Source organism: Homo sapiens, chromosome 3, assembly GCF_000001405.40.
Source record: "Homo sapiens chromosome 3, GRCh38.p14 Primary Assembly".
Taxonomy (NCBI): domain Eukaryota; kingdom Metazoa; phylum Chordata; class Mammalia; order Primates; family Hominidae; genus Homo; species Homo sapiens.
The window spans coordinates 195,861,049-195,887,765 of record NC_000003.12 but is presented as its reverse complement, the minus strand read 5'-3'; the positions used below and the strand labels follow the sequence as shown (position 1 = coordinate 195,887,765).

At 59.5% G+C, this 26,717-nt stretch overlaps 1 protein-coding gene and 1 non-coding gene across 74 annotated transcripts in view, besides 3 other annotated features; both read left to right on the top strand.

Annotated features, from left to right (window-relative positions):
* TNK2 (tyrosine kinase non receptor 2) overlaps positions 1-24,402 on the top strand; it is a 45,188-nt gene extending 20,786 nt beyond the window's left edge. For 18 of the 73 annotated variants that reach the window (NM_001382273.1, XM_047447154.1, XM_047447157.1 and 15 more), the window contains 14 exons: positions 719-789; positions 2,733-2,954; positions 4,457-4,609; positions 5,438-5,715; positions 8,591-8,717; positions 9,174-9,320; positions 9,419-9,513; positions 15,296-15,490; positions 17,561-17,652; positions 18,225-18,269; positions 19,057-20,405; positions 20,502-20,597; positions 20,750-20,877; positions 23,579-24,402. In NM_001382273.1, the coding sequence (NP_001369202.1) occupies positions 719-789; positions 2,733-2,954; positions 4,457-4,609; positions 5,438-5,715; positions 8,591-8,717; positions 9,174-9,320; positions 9,419-9,513; positions 15,296-15,490; positions 17,561-17,652; positions 18,225-18,269; positions 19,057-20,405; positions 20,502-20,597; positions 20,750-20,877; positions 23,579-23,585 (3,005 nt within the window). In that variant the 3' untranslated portion in view covers positions 23,586-24,402. Of the gene's footprint in view, positions 1-718; positions 790-2,222; positions 2,354-2,732; positions 2,955-4,456; positions 4,610-5,437; positions 5,716-8,590; positions 8,718-9,173; positions 9,321-9,418; positions 9,514-11,011; positions 11,163-15,295; positions 15,491-17,361; positions 17,653-18,224; positions 18,270-19,056; positions 20,406-20,501; positions 20,598-20,749; positions 20,882-23,578 lie in introns of those variants that run through there. The other 55 variants (NM_001386164.1, XM_047447153.1, XM_047447156.1 and 52 more) reach the window with 26 other exon arrangements.
* Positions 373-1,136: an enhancer, noted in NCBI's record as "H3K27ac-H3K4me1 hESC enhancer chr3:195613501-195614264 (GRCh37/hg19 assembly coordinates)". NCBI's record gives its function as "activates a minimal SCP1, AML or CMV promoter by ChIP-STARR-seq in primed H9 embryonic stem cells {active_cell/tissue: H9 hESC(primed)}" and the evidence as "EXISTENCE:reporter gene assay evidence [ECO:0000049][PMID:30033119]".
* Positions 3,980-4,480: an enhancer, noted in NCBI's record as "H3K4me1 hESC enhancer chr3:195610157-195610657 (GRCh37/hg19 assembly coordinates)". NCBI's record gives its function as "activates a minimal SCP1, AML or CMV promoter by ChIP-STARR-seq in naive H9 embryonic stem cells {active_cell/tissue: H9 hESC(naive)}" and the evidence as "EXISTENCE:reporter gene assay evidence [ECO:0000049][PMID:30033119]".
* On the top strand, positions 5,371-5,437 carry MIR6829 (microRNA 6829). Its single transcript, NR_106887.1, has one exon. It is a non-coding gene; the product is annotated as a microRNA 6829 (primary transcript).
* Positions 9,684-10,238: an enhancer, noted in NCBI's record as "H3K4me1 hESC enhancer chr3:195604399-195604953 (GRCh37/hg19 assembly coordinates)". NCBI's record gives its function as "activates a minimal SCP1, AML or CMV promoter by ChIP-STARR-seq in primed H9 embryonic stem cells {active_cell/tissue: H9 hESC(primed)}" and the evidence as "EXISTENCE:reporter gene assay evidence [ECO:0000049][PMID:30033119]".

The window sequence follows — 26,717 nt, the reverse complement described above, 5'->3', positions numbered from 1 at the left end:
CGTGCGCACACGCGTGTGCACACACACGCACATACACACAGGTTTGCTCTGATTTGAGTTCAACCCTTATCTTCATATTTTTCCTAAAAGTGGGGGTTGTAGCATCTAAAAGTCATGATGTTCTTCATAGAACATTAGAAACGTATTAGGGCTTTCAAGTTAAAATAGCTAAATAGGTAATAATGTGTCAAGTTAGACACTGACTTAGTTAAAATAGCTAAATAGGTAATAATGTGTCAAGTTAGACACTGACTTAGTTAAAATAGCTAAATAGGTAATAACGTGTCAAGTTAGACACTGACTTAGTTAAAATAGCTAAATAGGTAGTAATGTGCTAAGTTAGACATTGATTTATGCTACTTTAGGCCTGGATAGTTGGTGTCTGATGCCAGTAGCATAAAAAAATTTTACGGAGGGAAAAAAACCTCAACATTGAGAAAATTCTGTTCATTACCTTGATTTTTCCTGAGAACTGGGAGAAGCCCATCGCTTCAAGTTTTTGGTTAAACACCTTCACCCAGTTTGAGAGCCAGTGCCAGGAAGTGGAGTGCAGAGACCGTCGGTCAGTTGAGGCTCCGGGTTAGTTGGGGTTGATTTCATTGCTATCATCGGGTGGGCGGTGTCTAGTGACAGGCTCACCCCCAAGGGGACCACAGGCAGCAGCCTCTCTCGGGCTACGGCGGCCTTCACAGCACGCGGTTCCCCGCTCTCCCTGCAGGCCAGCGGCGGCTGTGGGAGGCTGTGAAGAGGAGGAAGGCCTTGTGCAAACGCAAGTCGTGGATGAGTAAGGTGGGTGAGGAGGTGGGTGAGGAGGTGGGAGGGGGGCAGCCTCGAACGCCCCCCTCCGCTTCTGGTCCTGGGAACCTTCCCCAGCTCCCCGGCAGGTCGAATCTCGCCGTTCTGCCGGCACTTTGTACAGGACCCCCTCGTCCAGGGTCTTATCGGGCAGGGCACTTGTAGAGCTGCTGGGCTAAGTGTCTGTCTCCGCCAGATACGGACACGTGAGCAGCCTGTGTGCGGTGAGGCCTTCACAGCCCCTCTCGGCACGCCTGGAACAGGACCTCATTGACAAGTGTGCCTTAACTTAGCCCTGCTGTGTCTGAGCGTTGGGGCCAGTGTCCAGCGTGGGGTGGTGGACCTGTCTGGACCCAGAACGTCTTTGCTTGGCTTCCCTCCTCCCTGACCCTCTCTAATCTCTGGGTTTCTCTGGTCATCTGTCCCTGCTGACAGCTTCCTTCCCCACAGCCTGTCCCCACCTCTCCCCACACCTTGTCCTAATTTGGGTCTGTGGTGTAGTGAGTCCCTGGTCTGACTCAGTGGAACTTTGCCCATTGTCTGGAAGACAATGAGAGAGGAAGTGAGCCAGCCGTGGTCTTTCCTCCCCACTTCTGGCTTCAGGGCTGGGTTGGGGGGTGGGCAGGGCCGAACAGCTGCAGTGGGATTGGGCAGCAGAGATTTTCCTGGCTGCAATCCGGCAAAGGGGCTGTCTCTTGGGATCCTTTGGCTTTTCCTGGAAACACTGTCCTGGTCCTTTGCCCGGGTTTTAGGGAAGGATGAGTAGTGTCGGGATGGTGGAGGCAGGAGAAGAGAGCAGCGTGGTTTGCTGAGATTTAGGGGTCTTGGATCTGCCACTGGCTCCTGATAGGTCCCTGGGCGGTCAGTGGCCTCCAGATTTTTGTTGTGTCTTCAGTGAAATGATACCGGTCCCCACTGCCCAGCTCACCTCCCGGGGCTGCAGGAGGCACCGGAGATAATGGCTGTAGAGGGTCTTGTAACCTGAACATTGCTTGCAAACATAAGGAATTCTAGTTACTGGGAGGAAGCACAGGGCAGAGGCCAGAAGAGGCCCTCAGATTTGAGGCACCCTAGCCCAGACGGATAAGGATCCACCAGCTCTGGGGGCGTGAGACCCAAGCTGGCAAGAATCTGCAATCTGGAGCCAAGGCTGTGGGTGCCTCAGTGGAGGCCGAGTCAGACCGACGTGGCCAGCTTTGACCCTCATGGCCTCCTTTCTTCTGTCCCTTGACCTTCGGCTCCTCCCTGTCCACCCTGGCCTCCGAGTCTCCTCCACTTTTCCTTCCGTCTCAGCCCTCAGCTCTAGGCGCCCCTCCAGAGACCCAGCTGTCTTCCCAGGCCCCTTCCCAGCAAGGACTAGCTTCATCTGAACCACACACACACTCACGGTTCAACCTCAGACTAAAATTATCCTCTCCCCTGGGCAGGATGAAGGGCAGCCGACTCCCTGGTGAGGGTGGAGACAGACAGCACCAAATGGTCAGGCCAGAGAAGGGGCCAGGGCTAAAAATGGACAAGGAGGTGTCTGTGGAGGGCCCCTGCGGCTCCATCGATGCGGGTTAGGGCTGGAGTCTGCGGGGTGGCGGGTGCAGGAAGGGAGGGTGGGGCAGGACTGGGAGGAGACTCCGACCTTGGCTGGGCGGTGCCCTCCCTCTCCACACAGCTGGGTGTGGGGCCGCTCAGCCACAGGCTGCATGCCTGTCGGTCTCTTTCTGGCACCCTCCTTGAGGCCAGCATCAGGCTTTGGGTTCATGTTTGGGGGTGTGCCCTGGACGGAGTGTGGGCCTCCAGCCAGGCTGCCCCACTGACAGTTTGGCAAAACCAGGACCTATCTGGAAGCCGAAGCCGGGGATCACCAGGTGGACCCAGCGGGGTGGGACTGAGTGACTGACCCTGGGGTGTTGGATTCCATCTGGCCCCCGGCTGCCTTCAAACAGGTGTTCAGTGGAAAGCGACTGGAGGCTGAGTTCCCACCTCATCACTCTCAGAGCACCTTCCGGAAGACCTCGCCCGCCCCTGGGGGCCCAGCAGGGGAGGGGCCCCTGCAGAGCCTCACCTGCCTCATTGGGGAGAAGGACCTGCGCCTCCTGGAGAAGCTGGGTGATGGTTCCTTTGGCGTGGTGCGCAGGGGCGAGTGGGACGCGCCCTCAGGGAAGACGGTGAGCTCTCTGTGTCCTGCCAGCGCAGCAGAGGCATGGGACCCGGGGCTGGTAGTGGCTCTTCTGCCCCCAACCAGGGTGTGGATGGGACTGGGGATGCGTCACAGTGTGGCTCATCCCAGAGTCCGTGCTCAGGATTTTTGGGGTTTTATTTATTTATTTATTTTTGAGATGGAGTCTCGCTCTGTCGCCCAGGCTGGAGTGCAGTAGGCACGATCTCGGCTTCCTGCAACCTCCACTTTCCGGGTTCAAGCAATCCTCCTGCCTCAGCCTCCTGAGTAGCTGGGATTACAGGCATGCACCACCACACTCAGTTAATTTTTGTATTTTTAGTAGAGACGGGGTTTCACCATGTTGGCCAGGCTGGTCTCGAACTCCTGACCTCAGATGATCTGCCCACTTTAGCCTCCCAAAGTGCTTGGATTACAGGTGTGAGCCACCACGTCCAGCCCATGCTCAGGTTTAACTAAGCACATTTATTATTTCAACTATAAAAATAATTTATTATAAAAGTTTGGAAAGTATTTGAAAAACAAGAAAAAAAAAATCGCCTGTAATCCCACCACTCAGAGGAAGCCGAGCCTCTTCCTCCCACTTTAGGTATTTTGTTGGATTTAGTTAAGATACAAATTCTGGATACAGCTTTTAAAATCTTGTTCTTTCTTCTCGGCGTTGCATTTAACATTTTCCCCTCAGGGATAACGTGTCACCACAGCATACAGTTCTGGTGTGACTGTTTCCTGTGCAGCAGCCGTGTCCTTACTGCTCAGATCACGTGCGGTGCATTCCCAGCACCTCAGAGGGCTCCTCATTCTCCGTCCACTCAGTGCGTCCTTCTCCCGGGGAAGCCGCTGTCACTCAGTGCATCCTTCTCCCGGGGAAGCCGCTGTGCAGACTTCCAGCTCCACAGCTTTGTTTTTGGCATTACATTTACAGCATTTTCCTTCTACAGCAAAACACCTTTTAATATTCCATTTTATGACCAGCCTGAGCAATATGGAGAAACCCCATCTCTACTAAAAATACAAAATTAGCCAGGCGTGGTGGCACCTGCCTGTAATCCCAGCTACTCAGGAGGCTGAGGCAGGAGAATCACTTGAACCCGGGAGGCAGAGGTTGCAGTGAGCTGAGATCACGTCACTGCATTCCAGCCTGGGCGACAAGAGCGAGACTGTCTCAAAAAAAAAAATTCCATTTTATAACATTTGAATATTCTCTCATCATACTGGTTATCTCTTACTTTTTGGTTGGTATTTAAGCCCGGCATTCCCCCAGGAAGGGGAGGTGTGGCCGACGATGGCTCCTGAGGGCCAGCCGTCTGCCCTTCTCCAGCCAGGCCTCACGCAGAGCACGTAAGCCCAGGCACTGGTGACATGCTTACCCACCCAGATGAGGAGCTCACAGGCAGGGATCGTTGAGCCGAGTTGGAGGGTGGAGCAGGTTGGCTCCGCGTGTCTGGGACCTGGCAAGTCCTGAGTCCTTGCAAATCCCGCTCTGGGCAGGTGAGTGTGGCTGTGAAGTGCCTGAAGCCCGATGTCCTGAGCCAGCCAGAAGCCATGGACGACTTCATCCGGGAGGTCAATGCCATGCACTCGCTCGACCACCGAAACCTCATCCGCCTCTACGGGGTGGTGCTCACGCCGCCCATGAAGATGGTGAGTACTGCGGGCGGGAGGGGGCGGGCAGGGAGAGGGCTCCGGTCCCATATGTGTGGTTCGGTTCCTCTCTCCATCCTAAGGTCAGAGGCGCCCTAGATCCTACTTTGGTCCCCCAACCTGATGGAGTAAAGGGGTCCACAGGGGCCCAGCCTGGTACGGGCTGTGTCTGCTGCGGTCCAGTCCGGGTCTGTCTCTGGATTTTGCTGGTGCTCAGTGTCAAGAGAGTTACTCCCATGGGAGGGGCTGGCCACTGAGTTTAATTTGGGGAATTTATGTTTTATTTATCTATTTATTTTGAGATGGAGTCTCACTTTGTCGCCCAGGCTGGAGTGCAATGGCATGATCTAGGCTCACTGCAACCTCGGCCTCCTGGGTTCACGCGATATTCCTGCCTCAGGCTTCCAAGTAGCTGGGATTACAGCCGTGCGCTACCATGCCTGGCTAATTTTTGTATTTTTAGTAGAGACGGGGTTTCACCATGTTGGCCAGGCTGGTCTCAAACTCCTGACCTCAAATGATCCACCCACCTCGGCCTCCCAAAGTGCTGGGATTACAGGCGTGAGCCACCACGTCCAGCTGAGTTTTGGAATTTCTAGCCACTGCCTCTTTGGGCTCCTTCTCTCTAGGCATCAGTTTCCCAAATTGCCTCGAGGGAGAGGCCTGAGAAACTGCAGGACTCCTAGAGGTCCCCAGACAGCAGGCCAGGAAGGTGCGTGCAGCCTGGCTCTGGAAAGCCTTCAGGAAGGGGACTGGGGGCCCAGCGTGGGCTGCTGAGAAGGGGCAGGGTCCTCCAGCTCATTCCTCCTGCCTCCTCCGTGGCCTCAGGTGACAGAGCTGGCACCTCTGGGATCGTTGTTGGACCGGCTACGTAAGCACCAGGGCCACTTCCTCCTGGGGACTCTGAGCCGCTACGCTGTGCAGGTGGCTGAGGGCATGGGCTACCTGGAGTCCAAGCGCTTTATTCACCGTGACCTGGCTGCCCGCAATCTGCTGTTGGCTACCCGCGACCTGGTCAAGATCGGGGACTTTGGGCTGATGCGAGCACTACCTCAGAATGACGACCATTACGTCATGCAGGAACATCGCAAGGTGCCCTTCGCCTGGTGAGGGGCAGGTGCTGCCAGCTCACAGAGTCCCTGCAGACCCAGGCCTCAAAGCTTCTGGGGCTTTCTGGACCCACCACAGCCCCTGGTTTTGCTTGGGCCTGCCCTTGTCTGTTCTAAGCCTGGGGTGCCCTCCTTTGCACCCATTCGCTCACCATCCATCTAGGAATTCTTGAGGGCCCACGTGCCAGGGTCTGGGTGCTGGAAATCACAGGGATACATGCTGTGGGACTCTCCAAGGGGCTTTGCTGGGTGGGGTGATACGGGGATAGATGCTGTGTCCTCTCCAAGGGGCATTGTTGGGGGTCGTGTTTCAGGGATAGATCCTGTGTCCTCTCCAAGGGGCATTGCTGGCGGGGGGGTGTTATAGGGATAAATGCTGTGTCCTCTCCAAAGGGCGTTGCTGGGGGGGGGGTGTTACAAGGATAGATGCTGTGTCCTCTTCAAGGGGCATCGCTGGGGGGGTGTTACAGGGATAGATGCTGTGTCCTCTTCAAGGGGCATTGCTGGGGGGGGTGTTACAGGGATAGATGCCGTGTCCTCTCCAAGGGGCGTTGCTGGGGGGGGTGTTAGAGGGACAGATCCTGTGTCCTCTCCAAGGGGCATCGCTGGGGGCGGGTGTTACAGGGATAGATGCTGTGTCCTCTCCAAGGGGCACTGCTGGGGGGGTGTTACAGGGATAGATGCTGTGTCCTCTCCAAGGGGCACTGCTGGGGGGGTGTTAGAGGGACAGATCCTGTGTCCTCTTCAAGGGGCATTGCTGGCGGGTGGTGTTAGAGGGATAGACACTGTGTCCTCTCCAAGGGGCATCGCTGGGGGCGGGTGTTACAGGGATAGACGCTGTGTCCTCTCCAAGGGGCATTGCTGGGGGGGTGTTACAGGGATAGATGCTGTGTCCTCTCCAAGGGGCACTGCTGGGGGGGTGTTACAGGGATAGATGCTGTGTCCTCTCCAAGGGGCACTGCTGGGGGGGTGTTAGAGGGACAGATCCTGTGTCCTCTTCAAGGGGCATTGCTGGCGGGTGGTGTTAGAGGGATAGACACTGTGTCCTCTCCAAGGGGCATCGCTGGGGGCGGGTGTTACAGGGATAGACGCTGTGTCCTCTCCAAGGGGCATTGCTGGGGGGGTGTTACAGGGATAGATGCTGTGTCCTCTCCAAGGGGCATTGCTGGGGGGCGGGTGTTACAGGGTTAGATGCTGTGTCCTCTCCAAGGGGCATTGCTGGGGGGGGTGTTACAGGGATAGATGCTGTGTCCTCTCCAAGGGGCATTGCTGGGGGGGGTGTTACAGGGATAGATGCTGTGTCCTCTCCAAGGGGCATTGCTGGGGGGGTGTTACAGGGATAGATGCTGTGTCCTCTCCGAGGGTCATTGCTGAGTTAGGTGATACAGGGATATATGCTGTGTCCTCTTCAAGGGGCATTGCTGGGGGGGTGTTACAGGGATAGATGCTGTGTCCTCTCCGAGGGGCATTGCTGGGGGGCGGGTGTTACAGGGTTAGATGCTGTGTCCTCTCCAAGGGGCATTGCTGGGGGGGGGGGTGTTACAGGGATAGATGCTGTGTCCTCTCCGAGGGTCACTGCTGAGTTAGGTGATACAGGGATATATGCTGTGTCCTCTTCAAGGGGCATTGCTGGGGGGGTGTTACAGGGATAGATGCTGTGTCCTCTCCAAGGGGCATTTCTGTGGGGAGGTATTCAAAGGTTTCCTAAAACATCAGGGAAGTTCGCCAGGGAAAGACTCGTTGGTAAGCATGTTCTAGGGAGAGCTAGTGGTAGACAGGCCCAGGCCACAGCAGGCCTTGTAGATGGGCCAGGGCTGCTTACCTGTGCACTAGGGGTGGTACTTGGCCCTGCCCTGGCCCCTGTGTGGGCTTATCCTCTGCTGAGACCATTGTGGTTCTCTGGTGCCAGAGGCACCCAGAGGTCTGTGATCTGCCTGCTTTGAGGCGGGAAGGGTTGTTCCAGTTCTGCTTTCCCAAGCGGTGGCTGTGGGCAACCCTTATGATCCAGGACGCATGGTCATCTTAACGAGCAGCTGGCTTTACACCCAGGGCGAGCAGAGGTCTTAAATTATGCCCGTTGTCCTGGAGTAATTTAGAGCAGCCTCTTTTGTATTCAGGCATCCTGGTTTGCATGGTAAGGTATGAATATAGTTGCCTTTAAACAGCACGATGAAGTGGGCGGGTTATTGTTCTCATTTCACCAAGGAGGATAATGAACCTTAGCGATCTCGAGTGACTTTCCCGGCCCCATCCCCTTTGAGGGGCAGGGCTCGCTCTGCTTCCCTGTCTGGGCACCACCCTCCTCTCTGCACCTCAGTCCACGCCGGGATGTCCTTTCTGACCTCACTGCAGTGGCACTTCCCCCTCAACCGGGGGTGCCCAGAACGAATGGGTGTATTTGGGTGAAGCCAGTATGACTGTTTCTACCCATTTTGGTTCTTCCCCAGGCCCTACCCGAATTTCCCACCCACTGCTTCCTGCCAAAGGACCCAAATCCGAGGATCCCGCCCCAAATCTGGGAATTGTCATTCTCCCACCACAGTCAGAAAACAGCCTGTGATCTTCTCTCCCTGCCCCATCCCAGAGCCTCTGACCTCCTTCCTTTCCATGCTTCTCTGGCTGGGAAACTTCCTTTCCTCTTCCCCCACCAGGCTGCAAGTGAATAAGAGGCCTGGGCTTAGACGATTTCCCCAAGTCCCTGCATCGTGTCGTCAAGGGGTCCTGCCCGCTTCACACGGCGCCCCTGAGACCCACTGTTGAACCTGGCACAGGGGGTCACAACAAGTGTTTGCTGCATGAGTGTTTTAAGTCCCTGGGGCGGACGCAGGTAGGGTGTTTGAGAGGGCTTCTCTTTGACCCCTGCCTCTGCCAGGTGTGCCCCCGAGAGCCTGAAGACACGCACCTTCTCCCATGCCAGCGACACCTGGATGTTCGGGGTGACACTGTGGGAAATGTTCACCTACGGCCAGGAGCCCTGGATCGGCCTCAACGGCAGTCAGGTGAGGGCTGGGAGACGGGCCCCCATAGGGCTGGTGGGGTGAATTCCATTCCCTGCTTGCAGCCTGGCCCTGCTGGAACTGCCTCTCACCAATGGACTCCCTCCTCCCACGCCCCGTGCCTCCCCCCACTTCCCGTGCCTCCCACCACGCCCCGTGTCTCCTCTCACGCCCCGTATCTGTATGGCCTCAGGGAGAGCCCAGCAAAGAGACGGGGAGGGAAAAGCTGGGGCCTGCCCTCCTTCTCTAGCCCTTGCCACATCCACTTGTTCCGAGGCTCCAGACCTGGGAAGAAGGGACTGGGGCTCTGGAGAGGGCCCCTCCCAGGCAGGCAGATCCCTTCTTTGGAGGCCAGGCATGGCAGCAGCCGCTGCAGCTGTGGATGGGCTGGAGGGAAGGCGGGAAGTGAAGGGCTGGGCGCTCTGTTTGTCGTCAAACTCTGCACCTCCTCACCTTCAGATCCTGCATAAGATCGACAAGGAGGGGGAGCGGCTGCCCCGGCCCGAGGACTGTCCCCAGGACATCTACAACGTCATGGTCCAGTGCTGGGCTCACAAGCCAGAGGACAGACCCACGTTTGTGGCCCTGCGGGACTTCCTGCTGGAGGTGAGGGACAGGTCAGCCCAGGAGAGCTGGGGTGTTCAAGCTGAGGGGCTACCCAGGCGTCAGTCCCAGAGTTGGCCACGACCTTCCTCTTCCTCCAGGCCCAGCCCACAGACATGCGGGCCCTTCAGGACTTTGAGGAACCGGACAAGCTGCACATCCAGATGAATGATGTCATCACCGTCATCGAGGGAAGGTAGGGAGTGCAGGGCTGGGCCCCGCCCTGGGATCGCTTGAAGGGCACAGGTCGGAGGGACCTGTGGACAGATCTGTTTGGCCTCCAAGATTCCCTTGGCCACATACAGGCTGGCGGTTGGGCCTGAACCCTGCAGTGTGAGGGGAGGACAGGCCTGCCTCCGTCTTCCTAGTGCCTTTCCCTGCCCAGCTTCCCTCCACCACCCTTTCCCACTGGGCTGCAGCCCTGGCTGTGTGGTTGGGCCAGGCTGCCTTTATGGAGGGGTAGGGAGTGGCCTGGCCTCGGTGGCAGCAGAGTTCTGGACTCCCGTGCTTCCTCCTCTGCTCCTCCCCGCTTCTCTCCCTGCTTCTTCCTGGCACAGGGACTCAGCCATCCACCTGGGTGCGTTTCAGTAGCTGAAGCAGCCCAGCCTGCCCTCTTGCAGCTTTCCATCCTTCCTGCTGAGCCCACCACCCCCTCCCAGGCCTGCCTCCAGCCTCTGGTCCTCTCTTCCCATCTCCCCTTGGGAGGACCCTCTCTATACCTAACCCTCCTCCCACAGCCTCTCGGGAGTCCCTGTCTTCCACCTGAGCCCCCGCAGTTCTAGCGCCTGCCCTGAGGCCCCACCACTGCTGGCCCTGCCTTGTGCTGGCTGATCCCCAGGGTGTCTGAGCAACTGGCTGGGGCAGGGCAGGTTTCAGGTACCTTTGAGGCAGGGGCAGTATTGAGGACCAGGAAGAAGAGTGAAGTGGAGGAAATCCCCTGTGCTCGCAGCTCCTGACTCAGGCCAGGCAAGGATGGGGCTAGGGCTGCTTCCCAGGGAGCCTCTTCCACCTGCACTGCAGCTTTTGGAGTCTGCGGCCTTCGGTGCAATCCTGTGCCTCTTGGGGGTGGGTGGAGGAGACCTGGGGGGCTGTGTGGAGTGTGACCTGCACCGCTGTGGCCCCGACACCCCGAGCCTTCCCAGGCCCGGCTCCCTCACCCTTGGGCCCAGGGTCTGGGAATAGGAATGACATACTGAGACTGCAGGGCCTGTGGTTAGGGGTGTTATGCTGGGGAAGAATGCAGAAGGTTCTAGAAAGAGAGGCCTGGGGACAGGAGGCAAACAGTCTGCAGGTTTGGAGCTGAGGGGCCAGGGATGGGATTGCAAGCGTGGCGCTCCGGGGAGCATTCTGGAAATAGGAAGATTAAGGGTGGGGGGGTCCCCTGGAAGTACCTGGCAGGGCCTCCAGCCCGAAGTCCAGCCTCATGACCGTGTCCACCTCCACGAGCTGGAAAGCCGTGGGCCTGGCCCCTCTTGTGCTGCTGCCGGAGCCCCAGATCTTTACCACCTGCTTCCCTTGCTCTCAGCAGGAGCCTGTGTGCCTGCCAGTGTCCCCAGGGGTGACTCAGAGTGGCCTGTGTTTGGGGCGTGTGTCTCTGGAGCTGGTGTTTTAGGTCACCGCCCGGGCAAGGCGGGCAGTGGGAGGGGCCGGGAGCGGCTGCTCCTGGGAGGGTTGTGGGTGTGCCCCGCCCCGCCCTTCCGTCGAAGGCCCCCGTTGGCCCCAGCCGCTGGTTCCCTGTGGCTGCTGCTGGTGGGGCTCTGGGGGCTCCTTCCCCCTGGGCCACCAGCCCTGGCTTGGAACCACAGCACCTGCCCTCCGTGCCTGGAGCTGCTCAGGAGGTGGGAGGTGAGGGGCAGGAGGCCACAACAGCCGGTGAGGCTTGGGAGCGGGCCTGGGTGTCGGTGGTGGCAGAGCTTGACTCTGCCCCCTTGTTTCTTCAGTCCCTGAATATCTCCATGTTTGTTTGGCTGCCTCCGTCTCCATGTCTCCAGGCGGATGGCTCTGTGTGAGTCTTTGGGCCTGGGTGTGCATCTGTGGGTCTGTGTTTGGAGTTCCCTCCTAGCCTGGCCTTCTCTTCGCCGTGGCTTCCCACTTGCGAAGCTGTGTCCAGTATTTGTTTCCTGGTGCGGAGTCTGGGAGGCCACCTGCCGCAGCTCTGACTGAGTCTAGGCTCAGTCCTTCTCAGGGTACCAGGCTGTGGGCAGAGGGGAGACACCTAGATGTTTCGTGCTGTGTCTAGATTTGGAGACACAAATGATGACTGGTCTTTCCCAGGGGCTCGTTTGGAGGAAGGGGTGGCTGGCAGCACTTTTGTTCCGCATACAGAGCGGGTGTTGGAATCCATTGCGGGTCCTTGGCCTGGTCTGGCCCTGGAGCCTCGGCTTCCTGTGGTGGGTGGGAGCCAGGCATCCGGGTTATCCCTCCAGGCCTGGGCGCCTGGGACCCCTAGGGAGAAGAGCGGGCGGGCGTTTTGAACAGAATGTCCGGCATTAGTTGAGCCATTTCTGGACTACCTTCGGCCCGGACGGGAACGTGGTGCTGAGATTTCCAGAGCTGGGGCAGCCTTAGGCAGTTCTCAGCACCGGCCTCTGTTTTCCATCTTGTCTACCCCAGAGATGTTGACCAGAGGCCCGGGGGCAGCAGGAGGTAGAAGGTTCATGCGGAGGTGTTGGGCCCTTTTCCTGCTCCCCCAGGAAGTCCTCATCCGCCCCTGCTTCAGTCACGGCCGGGTAGCAGCCCTGGCCCTCCCATGGCCACGGGGACTCCGGCCTGTTCATGGCGGGAGAGAGAGGGCGCGGACAGGGCGGGCCTGGAAGGAAGGGCTGGCCTCAGTCCCCTCTGGACTGCTGGTGCCTCGGCCACACTGAGCCTCACACGGGTGCGTGTGGGCTGCGAGAAGTGACACGGTCCTCTTGGAAGTCCCACTGGAGCCTTGGGATGAAGCTGCCTTGGAGTGTGCGTGGGCGCCATCCCGAGGGGGAGCTTCCTGTGCCTCCGAGCGTGCGTGGGCGCCATCCCGAGGGGGAGCTTCTTGTGCCTCGGAGCGTGCGTGGGCGCCATCCCGAGGGGGAGTTTCTTGTGCCTCGGAGCGTGCGTGGGCGCCATCCCGAGGGGGAGTTTCTTGTGCCTCGGAGCGTGCGTGGGCGCCATCCCGAGGGGAGCTTCGTGTGCCTCGGAGCGTGCGTGGGCGCCATCCCGAGGGGAGCTTCCTGTGCCTCGGAGCGTGCGTGGGCGCCATCCCGAGGGGGAGTTTCTTGTGCCTCGGAGCGTGCGTGGGCGCCATCCCGAGGGGAGCTTCTTGTGCCTCGGAGTGTGCGTGGGCGCCATCCCGAGGGGAGCTTCTTGTGCCTCGGAGTGTGCGTGGGCGCCATCCCGAGGGGGAGCTTCCTGTGCCTCCGAGCGTGCGTGGGCGCCATCCCGAGGGGGAGTTTCTTGTGCCTCGGAGCGTGCGTGGGCGCCATCCCGAGGGGAGCTTCTTGTGCCTCGGAGTGTGCGTGGGCGCCATCCCGAGGGGAGCTTCTTGTGCCTCGGAGCGTGCGTGGGCGCCATCCCGAGGGGGAGTTTCTTGTGCCTCGGAGCGTGCGTGGGCGCCATCCCGAGGGGAGCTTCTTGTGCCTCGGAGTGTGCGTGGGCGCCATCCCGAGGGGAGCTTCCTGTGCCTCGGAGCGTGCGTGGGCGCCATCCCGAGGGGAGCTTCCTGTGCCTCGGAGCGTGCGTGGGCGCCATCCCGAGGGAGAGTTTCTTGTGCCTCGGAGCGTGCGTGGGCGCCATCCCGAGGGGAGCTTCTTGTGCCTCGGAGTGTGCGTGGGCGCCATCCCGAGGGGAGCTTCTTGTGCCTCGGAGTGTGCGTGGGCGCCATCCCGAGGGGGAGCTTCTTGTGCCTCGGAGCGTGCGTGGGCGCCATCCCGAGGGGGAGTTTCTTGTGCCTCGGAGTGTGCGTGGGCGCCATCCCGAGGGGAGCTTCTTGCACACGTCCTCCGCACTCTTACTCTCCTTCCCCCAGGAGCAAGCATGTTTTCTCGAGTGGTGTCAGGACTCCCAGCAGCCATGGGGGCTCTTGCCTCGGCCATACCTGCACTAAGGGAGGTGGGCTTGATGTCTCCTTTCCCTCTCAGAAGTGGGTCCCAAAGGAGGCTTCTGTGCCTGGAGCTGGGCAGTGTTGGCGGAAGGGAGAGGCCAGACGGAGTGACCTGCCTTGGGCACGAGTCACGCTGCTCTGAGCAAGGTCTCGGCCTCAGCGGCATTCTCACCCAGTTACTGAGCGCCTCTGAAGAGGTGTGGAGAGCAGAGTCCGGCGTCTGGCCCGCGGCAGCCACCGGGGAGCCCGTGGGTGTAGCGGGAGAGCCGCAGCCCAGCCGGTGCCGGGGTTCCTCCTCTACGGGCCGCCGTGGGAGGCTGTGTGCGTGCTGGGGAGCCGGGGCTCTGCTCCTTCGAGTGGCCCTGCTATTTTTCAGATGGGACTCGTCTCGTCTCGGGGTACTGTCCTCTCTCCTTCCTTCCCTCCCTGCAGGCAGGGTGGGAATCACAGGGTGGCTGTGTGTGGTGGGGCCAGGCCAGTGGCCCTGTGTATGAGGAGGCTGGGCAGGGGGAGCACAGCCCCGTCTCCCCGCGCCCCGCGCCCCCCGCCTCCCCGCCGACCGTGGTGCTCTCGGGTTTGACTTTGGTCTCTGGGATGGGCTGTTCCGGAGTCACCCCGCTCCAGCCAGGCCTCGTCACCTTACAAGGCTGTGGGTCTGGGTGCCCAGGCGTCGCCACCTCCTCCGTCCTCTCTCCCCGGCCTGGCTGGGTTTCAGAGGAGCCCTTCTTCACGCTTTGGCCCTGGGACAGGAGAAGTGGGGGTTGGTGGGGAGGGCGTGCAGTGTGGTGCCACACGTGTCCACCCTAGCAGCTCTGGGCTGTCACCGCCCCCGCGTGCCCAGACTCTGCCCACGGGGCTGTCACCGCCCCCGCCTGCCCAGACACTGCCCACGGGGCTCTCACCGCCCCCGCCTGCCCAGACACTGCCCACGGGGCTCTCACCGCCCCCGCCTGCCCAGACTCTGCTCACGGCATCACGTATGACAAGTCCAGCAGCAGACGCGGGAGCCTCACAACCTGTGAGAGCCTTCGGGAGTCAGGAGTGTCTTGCGGGAGCCCTGTGCTTCCTGGCCTGCCTGCCCCTGCCCCTGCCCCTGCCCCTGCCCAGGCCCCGGCTTAGGCCACATCAGCAGAGGTTTCGTGTCTGAGGTCAGAGGGGGACTGGCAGCCCTACTGTCTGGTCACTGTGGGAGAGCTGAGTTCCCTTTTGGACACAGGTAGAGCCCCTCCTGAGGAGACGGGGAGGCTCCCGCAGGCCTTCCGGGAGGTGGTGGAAAGCTCCGGAAGCAGGTGAAGCGGTGGAGGGAGGGACTGAGTTGCCCGAGTGCTCCTAGACTCTCCCGCGTCTGCATTCGGGAGGCAGGTTGTAGCTGGAGGCCTGGCCCCCAGCCTAGTGCAAGGCCCTAGGTGTCCCCCGGCACCCCCGCACCTCTCAGAACTCCTGGAACCCAGCCGAGGAGTGAAATCAAGTGGCCAGAAGAGGACTGGGGCCCCGGCCTTGCCAGGGAACTGAGGGGTGAGGAGGAGGTGTGGGCGGGGCGCTGGCCCCACAGACCTGAAAGCTGGCGTTGGGTCCCAGGTCTGCTGGGATCTTTCTGGTAACCGTGGACAGGTCATGTTGCCTGCTGCAGCAGCTTCCAGCGTGCCTCCTTATTTGCAAACCATAGGGAAAGCTGCCTGACCCACCTAGAGAGTTGTGGGTAAGGCCGTGTGCAAACAGGCCTGTACGGGGCATGGTGGGTCACGGGGGCTGTTGGGGAGGAGGGCCGGTGGCACACAGCCTGGTCCTGAGGCCTGAGCTCCATCCCCCTTCTGCCACAGTGGCCAGGGTGTGAGGAGGGTCCCAGTGCCGGGGCTGCCCCGCCACGCCTGGCGTTCACCGTGCCATCTCTGTCGCGCAGGGCCGAGAACTACTGGTGGCGTGGCCAGAACACACGGACGCTGTGTGTGGGGCCCTTCCCTCGCAACGTGGTGACCTCCGTGGCCGGCCTGTCGGCCCAGGACATCAGCCAGCCCCTGCAGAACAGCTTCATCCACACAGGGCATGGCGACAGTGACCCCCGCCACTGCTGGGGCTTCCCGGACAGGATTGACGAGTGAGTACTGGGCGGGGATGGATGCTGACCTGGCCCCGCTCGGGACTCCAGGGCCCTCAGCACGGCACGCGTGGGCGGAATCTGCTCTTCACCCTTTCGCCCGGGCTTCAGCCCCCGACCCGCCACTCTCCCCTCCTCACCCTGGCCTTACTCTCGGGAAGCTGTGGAACCCTAGGAAGCCCAGCCTGGTGGGGGTTCTCCAGGGGAATGTTCTCCAGGGGAGTGTTCTCCAGGGGAGGGTTCTCCAGGGGAGGGTTCTCCAGGGGAATGTTCTCCAGGGGAGGGTTCTCCAGGGGAGGGTTCTCCAGGGGAGGGTTCTCCAGGGGAATGTTCTCCAGGGGAGGGTTCTCCAGGGGAGGGTTCTCCGGGGAGCGTTCTCCAGGGGAATGCTGTCCCTGCCATTTTCAAGCTTTGGGGGGCCGATCTCCTAACTCTGAGACACTTCATCTGTGAAACAGGTTCACCCCCCCAATAAGGGGAAGGCTGTAAATGCACTCTGAATTAGCACTTGCTGCTCAGATGCAGGGGTCCTGAGAGAAGCTTTCCCACTCACTGTAGATGAAAGTAGGGTCAGGAGCTTCTGAGGATGGACTCCTGTTTGGTGGAAAGGTCCCCGGAGCCACAGCTGTAACCCCTCTTGGTACTCGGGCCTTAGGAAAATGAACTTGGGAGGAACCCGGTGGGAGCTGCTGAGGAGGAGAGCTTCTCCCATGACCCCCCTGTGGCCCCCTGTGACCCTGTGACCCTGTGACCCCTGCACACGAGCAGTGGTTTTCCTTCTCCTGCTGGTGGTGCCAGAGTCCTGGAGACGTGAACCTGCTGGCTCAGGCCCTGGGGATGTATGCAGGTCCACATGGGAGTGAGCCTGCTTTCCAGAACCAGAGTGGGACTGGGGACCTTGGGGACTGCAGAGGGAACGTTAGGTGGCAGCTCCGCCTCCCCACCACACAGTACTCTACGGAGCTCACTCCATACCTGGGAGAGGCCCTGTCTCCTATGTAAGAGGATAAGGCCACCGAGGGGCATCTGGGAAGGACACGCAGAATCAGTCACTTCCGGGATGCCACCCCCCACCCCCCGAAGCTTCTTGCGCCAGGCCTCCAAGCCTCTCTGCTGGCCGCAGGGGGATTCCAGGCCCCTGGCCTCTGCAGCCCTTCTCCTGCTGACTTCTGATACTCTGGTCTGCCCTGAGAGGCGTGGAAAGCAGGGGCCTTCACCCACCGGGCCCCACACACCAGAACCCCACACAGCGGGCCCCCACACACCAGAACCCACACAGCGGGCCCCCACACACCAGAACCCCACACAGCGAGTCCCCCCACACCAGAACCCACACAGCGGGCCCCCACACACCAGAACCCACACAGCGGGCCCACACACACTGGAACCCCAAGCTCACAGGGCTCAGCCCATGTGTTTTGCCTAAAAAGAACCCAGCAAGGGCCTGAGAGTTGGGGTGAAAGACTGCAGACACCTCCAGGAGAGGCTGGTGCCCTCTGCCCCACTCCTGGCATGCTGTGGCCAGCCCAGCCCCATTCCTCCAGGCTTTAATCAGCCCCAGTGACTAAGTCTCAGATACTGACAGTTGGTGCAGGGACGGAGGGTGGATCCGGAGCAGGACAGGTGGCCCAGCCTCTCCCGCACCTCCTGGCCATGTGGCAGAAGGGTGCCTCCTGCCCACCCTGGCTGGGCACCATAGCTGGGATGCCCCGTTCTTAGGCCCTCCATCGTGGCCTGCGGGACAGGAGTGTCTGCCCTCTGGCCGCTGCCTGGTGTGGGCTGGGGGCCTGGGGGGTTGTGGAGGACCACCTCTGCCCTTGTAGGGTGTAGTTGGAGTCCCTGAGGTCCTAGGCTTTCCATCCTGGGGTCAGGTGTCCTTTCTCTGCCTTCTCTCCAGGACACCCCCCAGCTGAGACGTGCGGTCAGGTTCTGTGGACTGGGAGGCGGGAGGCCTGTGCTTCAGACCCAAGACTACACCCGGTTTCCTCCAGGACGAAGGGGCTCTGATGAGATTCTGCCACCCCTCCACACGCTTCCCCTGCTCTCTTGACCCAGCTCTCTCCCCCACAGACTGTATCTGGGAAACCCCATGGACCCCCCCGACCTCCTGAGCGTGGAACTGAGCACCTCCCGGCCCCCCCAGCATCTAGGAGGGGTGAAAAGTAAGAGCCCCTCTGCTCCCTGGTGTCCCTAACTCATCGGCTACTCAGGAAGGGGCACTGTCTTCACAGGCCACCCTAAGGCTGCTGTTCTGTTTTTGGGGACAGTGGGGTCAGGGCAGCAGGCGGGACAGCTGTGTCCCTGGCTCCGGCTGGGCGTGGGGTGGAAGACAGGCAGCTGTATCCGCCGAGGTGGGCCTCCTCGGGCTGGGTCTGCAGCAGGCCCGTCCGCCCCGGCGTCCCTCCTCCCTCCTTCCACGGCCGAGCTCAGATCCTGGCTTTCCTCACTTCCCCCTAATCCTGCTCTCCTGTCCCAAGCCAAAACCACCCCACGGCTCCGGCTCTGCCTGGGGCCTCCTCCATCTCCCGGTCCTCTGCCTATCATACTGGACCGCCGTGTTCCTCATCCTGCCGCCTGCGGCCTCCCGTTTGCTGGGGGCTTGTACATTCACTCGCCCCCATTCACTTCTCTCCCTTCGTCTCTCTACACTCTGCCCTCTCGTCCGGCCGTCTCCCTCCTTTGTCCTCTGTCCTGCTCCGTCTCTCTCCCCCTGTCCGCATGGCCTTTCTTGCAGGGGAGCCTCCACCTCGCCCACCTCAGCCTGCCTTCTTCACTCAGAGTAAGTGGGGCTGCTTCCGATGCCTTGGCCCCCGCCCCCGCCCCCTCTCTCTCACTCCTCTCCTGGAAGGTACAGAGCCTGGGCGGCTGGGCCGGAGGGGAGGTGGGTGGGTGTGTGCTGTGAGCTTCCGCGGCTGCCCTGGCCTAGCATGCCTGCCCCCCCTCGAGCCCGCCCCCCGGAGCCTGGGCTTCTGCTCACGAGTGTGGCCCTGGCTTCCGCCTCGGCCTCACTCCCTCCCAGACCTGTCTGAGCTTCTGGAGCACGAGTGTGGCCCTGGCTTCTGCCTTGGCCTCGCTGCCTCCCAGACCTGCAGGCGCTGTCTGGGCTTTGTGGCCGTTGGTCAGGAGTACTGTCCTCTCCAAGGATAGTCCTTATAGCCCCTGATGGCAGGAGGCGGCTCCGTGCCTGCACTAATGGTGTGCCGTGACAGGGGCGGGGATGAGGGCTCACTAACTCGCCAGGGCGCAGGAGCAGGGCCGCCGGGGTCTTGTGCTGGTGGAGGCAGCGTCAGGCAGGAGCCAGTGTTGCTTGCTGCAGCTTAGACGGAGCGAGGCGGGGCTCACCGGCCCACATGGGGCTGCCGGGCAGAGCAGGTTCCGCCCTCCTGATGGAGTGGTCGGAGGTGCGCTGAGAACCTGGCCGCCGGTGGCTGACCTCAGACCTCGGGGGGAGTTGGGAGTGGAGGGTTGCTGGGGGACACTTGGCTTTCTCTCCCACGTGCCACCTCCCCTCGTGTCCCAGACCCTGCCTGACTGCCTTCCTGTTGGGCTCTCCCTTTCCATCACAGAACCAACCTATGACCCTGTGAGCGAGGACCAAGACCCCTTGTCCAGCGACTTCAAGAGGCTGGGCCTGCGGAAGCCAGGCCTGCCCCGAGGGCTGTGGCTGGCGAAGCCCTCGGCGCGGGTGCCGGGCACCAAGGCCAGCCGAGGCAGCGGGGCTGAGGTCACGCTCATCGACTTCGGTGAGGAGCCCGTGGTCCCGGCCCTACGGCCCTGCGCGCCCTCCCTGGCGCAGCTGGCCATGGACGCCTGCTCCCTGCTGGACGAGACCCCGCCTCAGAGCCCCACGCGGGCACTGCCCCGGCCCCTGCACCCCACGCCTGTGGTGGACTGGGACGCACGCCCGCTGCCCCCCCCGCCCGCCTATGACGACGTGGCCCAGGATGAGGATGACTTTGAGATCTGCTCCATCAACAGCACCCTCGTGGGCGCGGGGGTCCCTGCCGGGCCCAGCCAGGGCCAGACCAACTACGCCTTTGTGCCTGAGCAGGCGCGGCCGCCCCCTCCCCTGGAGGACAACCTGTTCCTCCCGCCCCAGGGTGGGGGCAAGCCGCCCAGCTCCGCACAGACCGCAGAGATCTTCCAGGCGCTACAGCAGGAGTGCATGAGGCAACTGCAGGCTCCGGCCGGCTCCCCGGCCCCCTCTCCCAGCCCGGGGGGTGACGACAAGCCCCAGGTGCCTCCTCGGGTACCCATCCCCCCTCGGCCCACGCGCCCACACGTCCAGCTGTCTCCAGCCCCCCCGGGCGAGGAGGAGACCAGCCAGTGGCCTGGACCTGCTTCCCCTCCCCGGGTGCCTCCGCGGGAGCCCCTGTCCCCTCAAGGCTCGAGGACACCCAGCCCCCTGGTACCACCTGGCAGCTCCCCGCTGCCACCCCGGCTCTCAAGCTCACCTGGGAAGACCATGCCCACCACCCAGAGCTTTGCCTCAGACCCCAAGTACGCCACCCCCCAGGTGATCCAGGCCCCTGGCCCGCGGGCTGGTCCCTGCATCCTGCCCATCGTCCGGGATGGCAAGAAGGTCAGCAGCACCCACTATTACTTGCTGCCCGAGCGACCATCCTACCTGGAGCGCTACCAGCGCTTCCTGCGTGAGGCCCAGAGCCCCGAGGAGCCTACCCCCCTGCCTGTGCCTCTGCTGCTGCCCCCACCCAGCACCCCAGCCCCCGCCGCCCCCACGGCCACCGTGCGGCCGATGCCCCAGGCTGCCTTGGACCCCAAGGCCAACTTCTCCACCAACAACAGCAACCCAGGGGCCCGGCCACCACCCCCGAGGGCCACTGCTCGGCTGCCACAGAGGGGCTGCCCTGGCGATGGGCCAGAGGCGGGCCGGCCAGCAGACAAGATCCAGATGGTGAGCACCCAGCCTGGCTGTGGGCGAAGCGGGGCAGGGCCCAAGGGGCCTGGAGCAGTGGGCCCTAGTGGTGCTGACAGGGGTGGGTGTGCCCAGCTGCAGGCCATGGTGCATGGGGTGACCACAGAGGAGTGCCAGGCGGCCCTGCAGTGCCACGGCTGGAGCGTGCAGAGGGCTGCCCAGTATCTGAAGGTACCGCCACCTCCTGCTCACTCTGGCTCTCAGGGACCCTGAAGCCTGGTTCTGCTGCCCCCAGCCCCACGCCCCCTGGCTCCGACTCCCCTCTTCCCCACCCTAGTCGGTGCCCTGGGCCCGCGTGTCCATGGCGCCACCCTTACCCCCAGGTGGAGCAGCTCTTCGGGCTGGGTCTGCGGCCCAGAGGGGAGTGCCACAAAGTGCTGGAGATGTTCGACTGGAACCTGGAGCAGGCCGGCTGCCACCTTCTGGGCTCCTGGGGCCCTGCCCACCACAAGTGAGTGAGCCCCACAGTCTGCCCCGCTCCGTGCCCCAGGAGGGCTGTCCCAGAGCCTGCCACACTGGGAGGAAGCCCAACACCTCGCAGGCCGCTCCCGGCCAGGGAGACACAGCTCTCCAGCTGCGGGAGGGAGGCGCTCACAGGGCCCAGCAAATCGTTTTTCCTAAATGTGTTTATTTGGACATTTTAGCCACTTGGTTTTCAAATGAGTACAAGAGGGAATTGGAGCCTCTCTGGTTGAAGGAGGCTTGCTTCCCTAGCACCTGCAGTGACCCTGAGCGGCTCCAGGAATGGCACTTTTTAGGACCCCATGATTTGCACACCTCTTTCTCACCTCTGTGTTTCCATATTTCTGTTTAAAGTAACATTTAAAATTTCAGTGTTGGCTGGGCACCGTGGCTCATGGCTGTAATCCCCAGCACTGTGGGAGGCCAAGGAGGGAGGATCACCTGAGGTCAGGAGTTCGAGACCAGCCTGGCCAACATGGCGAGACCAGGTCTCTACTAAAAATACAAAAATTAACCGGGTATGGTGGTGGGCACCTGTAATCCCACCTGCTGGGGAGGCTGAGGCAGGAGAATCGCTTCAACCTGGGAGGCGGAGGTTGCTGTGAGCTGAGATTGCACCACTGCACTCCATCCTGGGCGACAGAGGGAGACTGTCTCCAAAAAAAAAAATTTTCTCTAAAAAGAAAATATATTGTCTTTCCTGTAAAAGGTTTATATTATAGTTTAACAAAATATATAGACATTTAAAATATATACATATATAAACACACTTTATATATTATGTAAATATATATATGAGAGCGCTGTCAAGTCAAAAAGAAGTGAACTGAGGTCACATGGCTGGAGCCAGCACCATGGCAGGAGGCACTGGCGGGAGGAGGGGCTGACACGGGCCAGGCCCTGGAGATACCTGCTGCCCTTGTCCCAGCAGCGTGGCCCTGTGCACGGTGCGGAGTTTCTCCACATATAAAGCGTGTAGATAATAGTGCTCACCCCGTGGAAGGGACTGGCGCGATGGATGGGGGACATGTCTGTCTTATTGCGCCCAGCACGCCTGGCGCCAGGATGCAGGCACTCCGTGTCACCTGTCTGTCCCATACTGTCTCGGGTGGTTCTTACTGATTTGCAGCTGGGATGCAGGCACTCCCTGTCACCTGTCTGTCCCATACTGTCTCGGGTCGTTCTTAACTGATTTGCACCTGGGACGCAGGCACTCTGTGTCACCTGTCTGTCATTGTCTCGGGTGGTTCTTACTGATTTGCACCTGGGACGCAGGCATTCGCTGTCACCTGTCTGTCACTGTCTCGGGTGGTTCTTACTGATTTGCACCTGGGATGCAGGCACTCCGTGTCACTTGTCTGTCCCAGTCTCGGGTGGTTCTTACTGATTTGCACCTGGGATGCAGGCACTCGGTGTCACCTGTCTGTCCCATCCTGTCTCGGGTCATTCTTAACTGATTTGCACCCGGGACGCAGGCACTCTGTGTCACCTGTCTGTCACTGTCTCGGGTGGTTCTTACTGATTTGCACCCGGGACGCAGGCACTCGCTGTCACCTGTCTGTCACTGTCTCGGGTGGTTCTTACTGATTTGCACCTGGGACGCAGGCACTCGCTGTCACCTGTCTGTCACTGTCTCGGGTGGTTCTTACTGATTTGCATCTGGGACGCAGGCACTCGCTGTCACCTGTCTGTCACTGTCTCGGGTGGTTCTTACTGATTTGCATCTGGGACGCAGGCACTCGCTGTCACCTGTCTGTCACTGTCTCGGGTGGTTCTTACTGATTTGCACCTGGGACGCAGGCACTCCGTGTCACCTGTCTGTCACTGTCTCGGGTGGTTCTTACTGATTTGCACCCGGGACGCAGGCACTCGCTGTCACCTGTCTGTCGCTGTCTCGGGTGGTTCTTACTGATTTGCATCTGGGATGCAGGCACTCCGTGTCACCTGTCTGTCGCTGTCTCGGGTGGTTCTTACTGATTTGCACCCGGGACGCAGGCACTTGCTGTCACCTGTCTGTCACTGTCTCGGGTGTTTCTTACTGATTTGCACCTGGGACGCAGGCACTCCGTGTCACCTGTCTGTCACTGTCTCGGGTGGTTCTTACTGATTTGCACCTGGGACGCAGGCACTCGCTGTCACCTGTCTGTCACTGTCTCGGGTGGTTCTTACTGATTTGCATCTGGGACGCAGGCACTCGCTGTCACCTGTCTGTCACTGTCTCAGGTGGTTCTTACTGATTTGCATCTGGGATGCAGGCACTCCGTGTCACCTGTCTGTCACTGTCTCGGGTGGTTCTTACTGATTTGCATCTAGGATGCAGGCACTCCGTGTCACCTGTCTGTCGCTGTCTGGGGTGGTTCTTACTGATTTGCAGCTGGGATGCAGGCACTCCGTGTCACCTGTCTGTCGCTGTCTCGGGTGGTTCTTACTGATTTGCATCCACATAGGCTTTGGGCTCTATCCCACCTGTCGTCTTCGGATTCTCTAATACGCAGGAGTGCTCTTCTGTTAGTTTACTCATAGTTTATTAAAGTACAGAGAAAAGACATCCAGGATGATAAATTTTACAGTCCTTGCCGGGGACTGCCAGCTTCCAGTGGTGTTGCCTGGCACCAGTGTGACCCCCGGTGCCTGCCCCGCTGAACCTTCTGTAAACTGTTTAACTGTGCTGGTGGTTTCCCATTCTCTAGGCGCTGAGATGCGTCTGGAGAGCCAGAGGGCCTGCCTGAAGGAATCACCTGAGCCTGTCCGTCCACCAGGAGTGGGGAGATGCCCCCATCCAGTCCTGGAGGACCCGCTGCTCCTGCTGCTCCCGGGGATGGAGCAAGGCCAAGGCTGCGGGAGGCTGGGAGCCCTGCCCTGCCCATCCCTCCTGCACCAGCGCTGTCCCTGCACACTTTGGTTCAGTCCCGGTGCCCCTGCCAAGATGTGGAAGGGGCCGGGTGAAGACAGGCTTGAGGGCTGCCCCAGCAGGCTCTGGGTATGACCTGCCTCTGGCCCTGGTCCTGGGCGGGGCCTGTGGGTGGAGTAGTACCCCCAGGCCCTGCCCTGGGTGACAGACTGGGAGGAAACCAGGCTGGACCTGGGCAGGCGGGATGTGTTGGCCACAGGGAGAGGCGGACCGGCACCCGGTGGGACCTCCTAGGACTGGGCCTTCTTCCAGGGGGCCCCTGGCAGCAGCTGGGGTGTCGGGCAGAATGTGACTTGTGGCCTTACCATGGACTTGAATGGGACTTGGCTGGCCTCAGGATCTTGTGCCTGGAAATAGCCTGAGGTGGCTCAGGAAGCGGAGAAAGGGTGCCAGACCATTCTCTGGCGGGGACCAGGGCCCAAGGCCCCAGGGCTGGAAGGAGACCAAGGGGCAGCCGCCCTGGAGGGACATCAGTGCTTCCTCTTCCACCCAATTCCCCCACGCGGTTCCATGTTTTCCCACCAGCCTGTTGGCGAAGTTGCTGCTCCGGCATTCAGTACCTGCTTCTTCCAGAGAAATAAAGTTAGTTTCTATTTTATGTTACTTACTTGTGCCTGCCTGTTTCTTTGCCTGTTAGTCAGCAAGCTCCAGGCCCCAAGCGAGGCTCCCCAGGCCACCAGCATCTGCTCCGGGCAGCAGGCCTTGTAGCACCACCTGGAGGCAGCGGGAGGGCGCGCAGGCCTGGACACCGGGAGGCCTCTTCCCTTACACGGCCGGCAGCGGGGCCAGAGTCCCCGCCGGTCTGGTCAGTGACTTTCACACTGCCTGGATTTCACTTGCCGCGTGGACTTCTGTAAGGCAGGATATATACTGCAGGAGAGAGTACAGCAACCCAGTTAAATAGAACCAAGCCAGAAATGTTAGCAACAAGGAACCCTTCAATATGTTAGGTATTTTAATTGCTTTTCTGAATAACTCATGTTCATACGGTTCAAAATTGAAAAGGCACTGAGGAGTGTACAGTGAAATGACTGGGTATCACCCACCGCGGCCGTCCACTTCCCCAGTGCAGAGACGCCTGTATCACCAGTTTCTTGTGTAGTGCTTGTTTTTGTTTTTACTTAATAATATTTTGAAGAATTCCATAGCAATACTGAACGTGCTTCCCCATTCTTTTTTTTTTTTTTTTTTTTGAGACAGTTTTGCTCTTGTTGCCCAGGCTGGAGTACAGTGGTGCGATCTCTGCTCACTGCAACCTCTGCCTCCCAGGTTCAAGCAATTCTCCTGCCTCAGCCTCTGAGTAGCTGGGATTACAGGCACGTGCCACCACACCCAGCCAATTTTTGTATTTTTAGTAGAGATGGGGTTTCTCCATGTTGGCCAGGCTGGTCTCAAACTCTTGACCTCAGGTGATCCGCCTGCCTCAGCCTCCCGAAGTGCTAGGATTATAGGCATGAGCCACCGCGCCCGGCTGGGCTTCCCCATTCTTTCGGGTTGCGTGGATGCACGGGTGTACCATAACCTACTTAACTGGGTTCCTTTTGATGAAGGGCAATTTTAGTTGCATCCAGTCCTTCGCAATTACAACCATTGCCTCAGTAAATTGTGTATGTGGGCTGTTTTTCACTCGCACGTCAATCTGAAGATGAGTTCCCAGCAGTGGGACTGCTAGGTCAAAGGGCGTGTGCCATGGCGGTGGGTGGTGCTGAACCTGCTCTCAGCGGAGGGACATTCTCAGTTGTCACACCACCTGTGCAAGGGAGCTTTCCATGTGTTAAGGAGTTTTCTGATCTTTGGCAGACTGACTGGTAGAAAATAGTGTTTCTATAGTTTTAATATGCATTTCTCTTACGAATAAACTCAAAAATAAGTTGAGCCATTTGTATTTCCTTTTTAATGAGTTGCCTATTAATATCCTTGGCCCATTACAAAATGTTAGATTATTCATCGGTTTCTTACTGCTTTCCAGGAAATTACTGGATCAATCAAGGAAACTAGCTCTTTGAGCTTCACATATGATCATGTGAACTTTAGGAAAAGAGGTAAATCATAAGAAAGTAAGCTTAATGACTCGGGTTTATTGAAAACAAAACAGAGGCCATTCAGGGTGAGTCTGGGCCACGTGTGTGTCTGGCTGTAGGCTGGCCTTCGTGGGTAGGCCCCGAGGCTCAGAAGTTCTGAGGCCTGGGAGCTTTGCATATGCCGTTTGCAAAGGCAGGAATTCTATTATTTTAACTGTGATTTAAAATACCTAGTCAAATATATCACAAAAGGGAACAAGTTTTTTTTTTTTTTTTTTTTTTTGAGACGGCATCTTGCTCTGTTGCCCAGGCTAGAGTGCAGTGGTGCAATCTCGGCTCACTGCAACCTCTGCCTCCTGGGTTCAAGTGATTCTCCTGCCTCCGCCACCTGAGTAGCTGGGACCACAGGCGCACACCACCACACCCGACTAATTTTTGGATTTTTAATTTTTGGATTTTTAGTAGAGATGGGGTTTCACCATACTGGTCAGCCTGGTCTTGAACTCCTGACCTCATGATCCGCCCGCCTCGGCCTCCCAAAGTGCTGGGATTACAGGCGTGAGCCACCGCATCCAGCCAGAACAAGTTCATATTAAGTGAGTGTTGAGCATTGCTGTTAGACCTGGATTTCATTCCTAGCTCTGTTTCGTCTTAGAAATGTTATTTCACCTTTCTGAGTCTGTAAACTGATGGAGTAATTCCTGCCTTATAGAAGGGTTGTGAGGACTGACTGAGGTTGTGAAGGTGAAACATTTTGCTTAGAGTATGGGCCACAGTCAGTTCCCACCAAACAGTAGTTATTATAAATGTTATTTCCCCGTGTTCCTGCCTGTTTCTATTAATCAATAGCTCACATTATACACTGACCACACTCTGCGCATAGAATTGTGTTTTACT